The 12,450-nt window shown below is 38.8% G+C and overlaps 1 protein-coding gene across 9 annotated transcripts in view; it reads right to left on the bottom strand.

Moving 5' to 3' along the window:
• MALRD1 (MAM and LDL receptor class A domain containing 1) overlaps positions 1-12,450 on the bottom strand; it is a 687,552-nt gene that overhangs the window by 137,171 nt on the left and 537,931 nt on the right. For all 9 annotated transcript variants that reach the window (XM_011519453.3, XM_011519455.3, XM_011519454.2 and 6 more), the window contains one exon: positions 1,851-2,114. In XM_011519453.3, coding sequence (XP_011517755.1) covers positions 1,851-2,114 — 264 coding nt within the window. The remainder of the gene's footprint in view (positions 1-1,850; positions 2,115-12,450) is intronic.

The raw sequence follows: 12,450 nt of genomic DNA, 5'->3' as shown, positions 1-12,450 counted from the left end.
TGAAGCCAAATATCATATGGCTATATTGAACTTAATATGATTTCTATCAGCCAAATTACATTAGAGCTCTGATGGGAACAGGGATAAGTAATTTGGCAGGCTTTCTCTTTTCTATTCACCTCCATTTGCTTACCTTGTTTCTAAGAAAAGATTAGAAGACCTGACAGGTTGGCTTTATCTCAGAGAGAATATATAGGTAGGAAATAACAGGGAGTTGGAAAACCAATTTGTCAGCCCGAACCAGGAAAAGAGTTTCACTGATTTAAGGCTAAAGCCTTTAAACATCCCAAGGTCATCTCTCTTTTCTTTCATTCATCTTTACTCTTCTTCCAATTGTTCCAGATTTCTAGAGGTCCCATATTACACAGGACCCTAAAATAGCCCTTGCTTTCTTCCTTCCATCTTTCCATCTTTCCTTCCTTCCTTTCCTTCCTTCCTTCCTTCCTCCTCTCTGTCCCTCCCTCCTTCCCCCACTTCCTCCTTTCCTCCTTTCCTCCTTTCCTCCCTTCCCCTCTTCCTTCCTTCTCTCTTTCTCTCTTTCTTTCGTTCTTTTCTTTTCTTTTCTTTTTGAGACAGAGTCTCACTTTGTCACCCAGGCTGGGGTGCAGTGGTACAGTGGCACAATCATAGTTCACTGCAGCCTCAAACTCCTGGGCCCAAGCAATCCTTCCACCTCAGCCTCCAGAGGAGCTGGAACTACAGTCATGCACCACCACACCTGGTTATTACTATTGCTATTTTTGTATAGATGGGTTCTCACTATGTTGCCCAGGCTGGCTTAAACTCCTGGGCCCAAGGGATCCTCCGATCTCGGCCTTTCAAAGTGCTGGGATAATAGGCCTGAGCCACTGCACCCAGCCTCATTCAATGTTCCCCTCTTATAGTTACATTTCAAACTGCCTTTTACTATACCAAAAAGTATAGTCATTAACATGTAGTTTATGGAATACTATCACTGCAGCACTCATCCAAAAATATAATATGGTATATGGTATATAATAAAATATAAAATATAAAATAAGTAAGGAAGCAAACAAATAATAAAATGTTAGGGGTGTTTGGACACCACAGTGATATGTACTCACTTTAAGATGTGTGTAATTACTTCTTACCTAACATTTTTCCTTCCCTACCTGACACTGGCTAATTATACTAAAAATCAAAGGTACTGAATACACAGCCTGGAATTTTACATGCATTTGCTCAAATCATCACAGCCTTGTAAGTTAGGTATTATTGAATTCAACACCTGGATGACAAAATGAAATTGGCAGCACTTAAATAACTTCTGCCAAGACTGCACACATAGTAAGTAACAGGGATGAAATTCAAACCCACATCTCTAGGATGCATTATCCCATGAACTCTTAATGACATGACATTTACTCAGGTAATTATCCAGATCCAATCCTTAACTATACATACCCATTAAAATCAATATTTGTCACTTGATCAAAAAGGAAATCTCTATCAATATGCCCTTTACTTGAGCCATTTTCATGAACCTTTATGGTAGGAAGAAATTCTAACTGAACTTCTCACACCACTTCCATAAACACGTTAATGAGATAAGAACACATAACGGCATCTCCCATATGAATGACTCAGATATAAATGGAAAAGGAAAAAGATAGGTTTAACAAAAATTAGCATGACCACAAACGGGGTGTTGCTGGAAACACTAAGCAAAGGACAGATGCCTTGTTTTGCAACATAACACTGAAAGCTGTGTTATTAATGATACAATCACGGTAAGGCTCTAGAGAACTTCATTTTATCTGTCGAGCTTTCTTTCTCATTTTAAAGCAGCATGCCTTCCCTTACACATTGAGTTAGTGAAAATAACTCACAGCAGATGAGCTCATCTTCATTAAAGTGGCAGTCGGGCACTCCATCGCATAGCAGGAGGGAAGGTATACACTCGTCTGTAGAGCACGGGAACTCCATGTTACTACAGAGTGGAGGGGTGGGGCTGAGAGGACAATCCATTTCATCAGATCCATCTATGCAGTCTTCATGTCCATCACATTTCCCTGAGAGAGGGACACATTGGAGTGTGTAGATACAAGAAAACTGATCAGCTTCACAGGGTGATGGCTGCACTGGGACAGGACCTAAAAAAGAGAGCAAGTCAAGTTATTTTGGCATTAGGGAGTTTCCCTCCATCCAGTGTTGGGACATTACAGGTTGCATTTCTTATTGTATAAAATGAATTTTATTAATTGAAGTAAATTAATTTCTAATTAGGATTAATATGATGCCTACAAACCTGATTCAAGAATATACCTTATCATAATGTCAGGAACATAAAAAATTATTTTAATTTCAATAATTTGGGGGGAACAGGTGGTTTTTGGTTATATTAATAAGTTCTTTAGTGGTGATTTCTGAGATTTTTGTGCACCCATCACCTGAGCAGTGTACACTGTACCCGATATATAGTCTTTTATTTCTCACCACATGCCCAATCTTTCCCCTTGAGTCCCCACAGTCCATTATATCATTATTATGCATTTGCATCCTCACAGCTTAGCTCCCATTTATACATGAGAATATACAATATTTAGTTTTCCATTCCTGGTTTACTTCATTTAGAATAATGGCCTCCAGCTCCATCCTAGTTGCTGCAAAAGACATTTTTTCATTCCTTTTTATGGCTGAGTAGCATTCCATGAAGTATATGTACTACATTTTCTTTATCAACTTGTTGATTGATGGGCATTTGGGTTGGTTCCATATCTTTGCAACTGTGAATTGTGCTGCTATAAACATGCATAAGGATGTGTCTTTTTCATATAATAACTTTTTTGTGGGGTAGATACCCAGTAGTGAGATTGCTGAATCAAATGGTAGTTCAACTTTTAGTTCTTTAAGGCATCTCCATACTATTTTCCATAGTGATTGTACTAATTTACATTCCCACCAGCAGTGTAAAAGTGTTCCATTTCACCACATCCGCACCAACTTCTACTGTTTTCTGACTTTTTAATTATGGCCATTCTTATCAGTACAATATTTCTTAAAAAGCATCATTGACATGAAAACTGACACCTTCAAATTAAAGAAGAAATTTTTATTTCTATGCCTTCAATTGGACTATTAAATCAGATTGTGCTCGAGTGAAAAGATACTTTCATGCAGTAAATTGAAAACTTTGGAAAGATGCACTCCCAGTTTAAGAATTTAAGGGAACTGTTACAATATCAGATATCATTTATTTACTGTCTCTTAGTGGCCTCCACCCAGGGAATCTGGCTCTTGAGACCCTGGCCAGGGTTGGGCCACAGAAATAGAGATCCGCTATGGTTTTGTCACACTGCACTCTGTCCTTGAATCTTGGTTACAGGTCAAAGGCCATGTGCTGTCATATCCAAAGCTAGATAAAATCACAGTGTAATCTAAGACGTTGCATTAGGAATCCTGAAGATAACCTGCTTCAAACCCAACCAACTCATTTTACAAACGAAGACACTGAAGCCCACAAATTTTAAATATCCAAAGACTCAATGCTAGTGTAATAAACTTTTGTTACATGAAACGTTTCTGCAGCAAAGGTTTGGGTCTACATTAAGTCAAACTTAAAGCAGAGGCTGACTGTTGAGTGTTGACTATCTCATGTTTCTAAAGGTCAGAGAATGTATGTGAACATATAGAACGGAACTAATTGGTGATTAGTGGGATGCTTCTTACACTTTGTATTGTCTCTGTGCTAGTTAACGAGGGACTCATCAATATATTAAGGGAAAATATAGAGCCAAGTAGCAATGGAGGCCAGTACAGGAATGGTTTGTTTTCTTGACATTTTAAACTACTTTTATTTATGGGTTGTATGAGAATAATTTGTGTTATATGTAAAGATGATATAGCAAATTCATTTAAAAAATGAGATGTGAAAGTCCCTCTCCCTCCTCACTAAACCAATAGTGAAGATGTATCTAGAAGGTATTTAGACTCTGACCCTATGACCAAAGCCATGTATCTGAGATATATGTGGCTGTGCTTAGGGAGCCTATGTTTGTAGAAATAAGTATATTTAAGTAGGAGAGAGATAAATGTATGACTTGGAGACATCGCTATCATGTTTTAATCTAACTGCCTGAGATCACAGCAGCATATAAAATTGCAATGTTCCAATGTACAAATTATAAATTCAAACCTTGAAAGCAAATTGGATTTAAATCTTTATACTTTTATATGTAGCTCTTCTGGTACTGGACCATGGTCAAATAAATAGTTTCTCTGTAATCTTTCCATTAGATTAATCTCACACTTAAAGTACAGAAATTCTTTTTTTTTTTTTTTAAGTATTTTATGCATAAAACTTTCATCTTTATGAGCTCACCAAAGGTTGAAAAGATTTAGCAAATTCTTTGCATATAACGAGAATCTAGAACCAACTTTAGTAATACATCTATGACTTAGCTAAGTATTAACCTTTTCTTTTTAAAAAATGAGGAAAATAATGTTCTCTATTCAAAAACAAAGACTTTTATGTTTCCCAGTTCCTATTCAGAATGGTGTGTGTGTGTGTGTGTGTGTGCGTGCGTGTGTGTGTGTGTGTGTGTGTGTGTGTGTGTGTCTTTATATTTTTCCTTATAGTGGATATGCAAAAATAAAATTTTCTCCTTTCGGAGGTAGGCATTGCATTAAAAGCAGAAATTTTTTTTACTGAATGGCACTCAGAACTCACTTGTTCTAGGCCCTTCTTTTCAAGGTCGCCATTGGGCTTGTCCTGCGTATAACAGATACTGGCTTGTACTGCCCAGCTTTCTCCATCCACATCAAGGTGTTCATTCCCCCAGCTCCTGGGAGGTTGCCAGATGACAGCTCATGGTTGAGTCAGGCCCCAGGAATTGCCCTCCAGAGTTACACCTCCTCCTGGGAACAGCTCCATTCATTGACTGGTGAGTTGGAGATAAGATGGCCCAGGCCCTATGCCTCAATGTAGGGCATCTACGAAGAGCCATGGCAGCTCCAGAGCTCCCCGTGGTATCGGCTGAGCCTCTTATTGCACCTGCATCACAGCTAAACCCCACCTGCCACCAGGCAGATGTCCAGTTCTGTTTCCTCCCCTCCTTTGCAGGGATGTTCCTGAGAGAATTTCTAAGAAATCTCTGATTTGGAGTCTGCCTTAAAGTCAGCTTCCCAGGGAACCTGACTTATAACACTCCCCAAACATAAAAATGAATCTAGTTTAAATTAAATCTCCTCTGAATTGCCCCTCAGATTTTCTAATGAAATATTTCTGATGTAGGGTGAACATGACTTTGCTTCCTACAGAGAGTCTAGGTAGTCTCTTAGCCAAGAGGCAGTCCTTCATTCACTCCGTATTTCTTTTATCTCTTGTTTTAACCTAATGAAAATTCTGTATTCTACTATAAATCTATACTTTTTGATATAAGTGGTTTCCTTTCAGTAATCAAATAAAACTAATACTCCTGGAAGATGTACTATCTTTATCTTTTGACTTGGATGCAAGTTGCCACATATATGCTTCAAGAAGTGTGGCCGGATGGGCATAGCGGCTCATGCCTGTAATCCCAACAGTTTGGGAGGCTGAGGTGGGCAGATCATCTGAGGTGAGGAGTTCAAGACCAGCCTGGTCAACACGGTGAATCCCTGTCTTTTCTAAAAATACAAAAATTAGCCTGCGTGGTGGCACACGCCCGTAATCCCAGCAACTCAGTAGGCTAAGGCAAGATTATCGCTTGAACCGAGGAGGCGAAGGTTGCAGTGAGCCAAGATAGTGCAACTGCACTCCAGCCTGGACAACAAGAGCAAAACTTGGTCAAAAAAAAAAAAAAAAAAAACTAAAATAAAAGGAAGGAAGGAAAGAAAGAAGTAAGTGTGGCCACCGTTAAGAAAGTTAATGTTAATGGATTTATTCTTGGGTTTCACCCATGGATTTACCTAATTATCATAGGAGGATCGCAAATTTCAAGTGTGTTGGAATCAACCATAAAGTTTATCTCATTTTGCAGTTTGCAGTTGATTTATTCTTTAGATATTGGAGCTGATAATAATATACAATTCCTTTAACTCTGTAAAATAAGAACAACATTCATTGTTCTCTTTTTAATACTCTGAAAAACCTCAGCACTACCTTAAATGTAGGTTACTAAGTGAAAGAAGCCAATGTGAAAAGGCTACATGCTGTCTGATTTTGACTATATGACATTCTAGAAAAGGCAAAATTATGGAGACAGGAAAAGTATCTGCCAGGAATTATGGGGTGGGAGGTAGGGCAAGGAGGAATGAATAGGTAGAGCACAGGAGATTTTTAGGGCGGTGAAACTAACTGTATGTGTCATATTATAATGGTGGATACATGTCATTATATGTTTGTCAAAGTTCACAGAACTTTCAACACAAAGAGTGAAACTTAATGTATACTATGGACTTTGGGTGACAACAATGTGCCAAAGTAGGCTCATCTCACTGATTGTAACAAATGTTCCACTCTGGTGCAGAATGTTAATAGCAGGGAAGACTATGAGGGTGGGGGCAGGGAGTATATGGGAAATTTTCTTCTCAATTCTGCTGTGAACCTAAAACTGCTGTAGAATATAAAGTATCCACATACACACACACAGACACACACACACAATGTATATATACACGTATTAATTTTGCTATATAAAATAAAATACCGGTGGTGAGATATCTAACTATTTATTGATCTGTCTTATGAAAATCTGAGGAGCAGTTCAGAGCAGATTTAATTTAAACTAGATTCATTTTTATGTTTGGAGAGTGTTATAAGCCAGGTTCCCTGGGAAGCTGACTTTAAGGCACACTCTAAATCAGAGATTTCTTAGAAATTCTCTCAGGAACATCCCTGCAAAGGCATAGGACAGATCTATAGATAGATCTATAGATAGATATCTAACCACCTATATATGTTATATAAAATATATACATATATAAAATATGTATATAGACATATACATATATTATATAAAATATGTACATATATAAAATATGTATATATACATATATAACATATATAATATATACATGTATATAAAATATGTATATATACATATATTATATATATATCACCACCAATATTCCTTAGAACCTACATTGTAACCAACACCTCATGTTTGATGATTTTCTCTTAAAATTTCTATGTTCTAATTTCTCCAAATTTATTTGAGAATGTAGCAATTCAGCAAGTAAATGCATAACATTTTGATAAATGTACTGTGTCTTGATAAAGCACATTGGTCCATTTCTTACTATGCCCAGTGAGCTGCTTGGTCAGGCTGCTTAAAACCAATGGCATTGAGGTGTAAGGCCAGTGACCGTGCAAGGGAAATGTTATAAGGTCGGTCCTGACAGTAGTTAGCTTCCTTGGGAATTCATGTTGTTGTTCATTATGCGAGACAATTACTGTGTAGAAGAGCCAAACACGCTCAGAGCAAAAATAAAACTTAGATCAGGAAAGCAAACGAAAATAGCACATTCTGTGTTGATAGTGTCATTCGCATATACCCCAAAGAGTACCATCAGAAAGGATGAAGGGATGTACAAAAGAAATGTAGATGGGCACTCAGAAACGTTGATGACTGTGATGGAGGGAAAGAGATGAGAAAATAAAAACATTCCAAAAAACTGTTGATTAATTTTGACAAGATGACTCATTATATATCTTAGGGTTGTTTGTTTCTTTATGTTAAGTCAACAGTTTTCAAGCTACATCTGATTAGGGGTATTATACAGACCTAATGCTGGGGTGAGAAGAACAAAGAGACTTATATGAAAGCTTAGTTTATGTGCTTTAGGGAGTGTTTCTCAAAAGAAGGATCCCAAGTTTCAAGTGTGTTGGAATCAGCAATAAAGCGTATCTCATGCCATTGTTTGCAACTGATTTATTCTTTGTATATTGGAGATGATTCAAGGCTGTACCAGCAATAAAGTTACTCTCATTCACTTGCATGCCACCAAATATGCTTCCTTCAGTAAGGAACAAGGGTGTGGAGTCACAGCTATATATACAGCTATATATATATATAGACATACTTTATTTATACACACTAATACTGGTATACATAAATACCAATGTTGGTATTGAGCTATCTATCTTCTATCTATCTATCTATCCACCCATCTATCTATCTATCTATCTTGGACCAATATCCCTTAGAACCTATGTTTCAGTCTGTACATTGTATGTGATACTTTTCTCTTAGACTTTTAATTTTTTAATTTCTCCAAATCCCTTTTAATATTCAGTAATCCAACGCTTAAAATGTACAATAAAATGTTTACCCTTGTCTTTATTGTGCAAGTAATGTGACAAGCACATAAACATCAGCTAGCATGGGTTTCAGCAGAAAACAGGTTAAGAAATGTTGCTTTAGACTGGGCGCGGTGGCTCATGCCTGTAATCCTGGCACTTTGGAAGGCCAAGGCGGTCGGATGACTTGAGGTCAACAGTTCAAGATCAGCCTGGCCAGCGTGGTGAAACCCTATCTCTACTAAAAATACAAAAATTAGACAGGCATGGTAGTGGGTGGCTGTAATCCCAGCTACTTGGAAGGCTGAGGTGACAGAATCACTGTAACCCAGGAGGTGGAGGTTGCAGTGAGCAGAGGTTGCGCCATTGCATTCCAGCCTGGGCGACAGAGCAAGACTCCGTCTCTACATACATGAGTAAATAAGAAATGTTGCTTTAGAATTTAGGGAATCAGTGTACAAATTAGTTTTGAGAAAAAGGATTCTGAAACAACAGAAAATCCCACAATCAAAGCTATACTTGTGCTTTGTCAGGAAATTGTAATTGCATCACTACAACAGCAACTTCACCAGGTCTTTACTCAGGTTTTCCTCAAAATTGTGACTTCAAATAGAGCTTGGACACTCCAAATCATATTGGACAGGTTTTAACCTCTCTTTGAGAATACACTGACATCCTAATGCCCAAAAGAGTAAATGGCATGAGATGTGTGTTCAATCAATATTTCTGACATTGATGAATAATAAATCAGTGGTTTAAATAGTAATTTTACTTTTCTTGATAATTAATATGGAGTTACATAATCAAAATGGACGAACTGAAGAATGCTTTCATTGACTATTTCCATGGAATAAATCATAAATAGTAAAAGCATAGATCAACAATATAGAAATTGGAAAGGTCTTTAAAAAAAAATTTTCGAATATATTTGAATATAAACTTATAATTAAGTAAAGAACTCTGTCATTCATTTCATATGCATCCTACAGGTCTTTACCAATTGCTTCAGAAGTTTTATGTGATTTTACATAAAGGACTTTTGCAGATGATGTTGTATATACATGTATATATATTTAAAAGAATAAATCTGCCATTTTTGTTTTCTACTAGATCTTAAAAGAGAGGAAAGGAAAATATTTAAGAAAAAAAAAAAACACCTAGGATAAGGAATTTAGGAACTGGCATTTCGGAACTTTGACATTCCTAGTAACCAAGACATCTCTCTGATTACCATACTCCACTTCACTTTGTGCTATGCAGACAGTTCCAATTCCTGGCATTTAGGAACTTCGACATTCCCAGTAACCAAGACATCTCTCTGATTACCATACTCCACTTCACTTTGTGCTATGCAGACAGTTCCAGTTCCTGATATTGTAGGTGTTTCTTTGCCCTCCCACAAGACGTTAAGTTTCATTGTTCATTTAATGTTTGCACAGCAGTAGAAACATATTTCTTATAGGAATAAAAATTACATCACACTGATAATTTGCAATGAAATTCAATGAAATGTGCTCAAGAATTTCATACAAGTTCCATAAAAGCCTAAAGTGCCCAAGGATAATCTGATGGATTTTTACCTTTATGATTAATATGTTTAGAGAAAAGGAAAATTGTCTGTTTTGAAGGAAAAAATGATATGCAAGTAGAACTTCAGTTTTAAAGTGCAGAAATTATGTTGTTGCCAAACATTGTCATACGCAGTGATATAGACAGTAAAAATGCTCATTGTAAAATATAATGCACCTGTTACAAATGGGTAACTGTCTCTGGCAGGCATTTTAGTAACAGCATTCAAAAAGATTACAAAAGAGGGGAGGAGCCAAGATGGCCAAATAGGAACAGCTCCGGTCTACAGCTCCTAGCGTGAGTGACGCAGAAGATGGGTGATTTCTGCATTTCCATCTGAGGTACCGGGTTCATCTCACTAGGGAGTGCCAGACAGTGGACGCAGGTCAGTGGGTGCATGCACCGTGCGCGAGCCGAAGCAGGGCGAGGCATTGCCTCACTCGGGAAGAGCAAGGGGTCAGGGAGTTCCCTTTCCTAGTCAAAGAAAGTGGTGACAGACGGCACCTGGAAAATCGGGTCACTCCCACCCAAATACTGCGCTTTTCCGACGGGCCTAAAAAACGGAGCACCAGGAGATTATATCCCACACCTGGCTCGGAGTGTCCTAGGCCCACGGAGTCTCGCTGATTGCTAACGCAGCAGTCTGAGATCAAACTGCAAGGCGGCAGCGAGGCTGGGGGAGGGGCACCTGCCATTGCCCAGGCTTGCTTAGGTAAACAAAGCAGCCAGGAAGCTGGAACTGGGTGGAGCCCACCACAGCTCAAGGAGGCCTGCGGGCCTCTGTAGGCTCCACCTCTGGGGGCAGGGCACAGACAAACAAAAAGACAGCAGTAACCTCTGCAAACTTAAATGTCCCTGTCTGACAGCTTTGAAGAGAGCAGTGGTTCTCCCAGTACACAGCTAGAGATCTGAGAACGGGCAGACTGCTTCCTCAAGTGGGTCCCTGACCCCTGACCCCTGAGCAGCCTAACTGGGAGGGACCCACCAGCAAGGGCAGATTGACACCTCACACGGCCGGGTACTCCAACAGACCTGCAGCTGAGGGTCCTGTCCGTTAGAAGGAAAACTAACAAACAGAAAGGACATCCACACCAAAAACCCATCTGTACATCACCATCATCAAAGACCAAAAGTAGATAAAACCACAAAAATGGGGAAAAAACAGAGCAGAAAAACTGGAAACTCTAAAAAGCAGAGCACCTCTCCTCCTCCAAAGGAACACAGTTCCTCACCAGCAACAGAACAAAGCTGGATGGAGAATGACTTTGACGAGCTGAGAGAAGAAGGCTTCAGACGATCAAATTATTCCGAGCTATGGGAGGACATTCACACCAAAGGCAAAGAAGTTGAAAACTTTGAAAAAAATTTAGAAGAATGTATAACTAGAATAACCAATACAGAGAAGTGCTTAAAGGAGCTGATGGAGCTGAAAACCAAGGCTCGAAAACTACGTGAAGAATGCAGAAGCCTCAGGAGCCGATGCGATCAACTGGAAGAAAGGGTATCAGCGATGGAAGATGAAATGAATGAAATGAAGCGAGAAGGGAAGTTTAGAGGAAAAAGAATAAAAAGAAACGAGCAAAGCCTCCAAGAAATATGGGACTATGTGAAAAGACCAAATCTACGTCTGATTGGTGTACCTGAAAGTGACAGGGAGAATGGAACCAAGTTGGAAAACACTCTGCAGGATATTATCCAGGAGAACTTCCCCAATCTAGCAAGGCAGGCGAACATTCAGATTCAGGAAATACAGAGAACGCCACAAAGATACTCCTCGAGAAGAGCAACACCAAGACACATAATTGTCAGATTCACCAAAGTTGAAATGAAGGAAAAAATGTTAAGGGCAGCCAGAAAGAAAGGTCGGGTTACCTACAAAGGGAAGCCCATCAGAATAACAGCAGATCTCTCAGCAGAAACTCTACAAGCCAGAAGAGAGTGGGGGCCAATATTCAACATTCTTAAAGAAAAGAATTTTCAACCCAGAATTTCATATCCAGCCAAACTAAGCTTCATAAATGAAGGAGAAATAAAATACTTTACAGACAAGCAAATGTTGAGAGATTTTGTCACCACCAGGCCTGCCCTAAAAGAGCTCCTGAAGGAAGCGCTAAACACAGAAAGGAACAACCGGTACCAGCCACTGCAAAATCATGCCAAAATGTAAAGACCATCGAGACTAGAAAGAAACTACATCAACTAACGAACAAAATAACCAGCTAACATCATAATGACAGGATCAAATTCACACATAACAATATTAACTTTAAATGTAAATGGACTAAATGCTCCAATTAAAAGACACAGACCGGCAAATTGGATAAAGAGCCAAGACCCATCAGTGTGCTGTATTCAGGAAACGCATCTCACGAGCAGAGACACACATAGGCACAAAATAAAAGGATGGAGGAAGATCTACCAAACAAATGGAAAACAAAAAAAGGCAGGGGTTGCAATCCTAGTCTCTGATAAAACAGACTTTAAACCAACAGAGATCAAAAGAGACAAGGAAGGCCATTACATAATGGTAAAGGGATCAATTCAACAAGAAGAGCTAACTATCCTAAATATATATGCACCCAATACAGGAGCACCCAGATTCATAAAGCAAGTCCTGAGTGACCTACAAAGAGACTTAG

The sequence above is a fragment of the Homo sapiens genome, chromosome 10 (genome assembly GCF_000001405.40).
Source record: "Homo sapiens chromosome 10, GRCh38.p14 Primary Assembly".
NCBI classification, from domain to species: Eukaryota; Metazoa; Chordata; class Mammalia; order Primates; family Hominidae; genus Homo; species Homo sapiens.
This window is presented reverse-complemented; position numbering and strand designations above follow the sequence as displayed.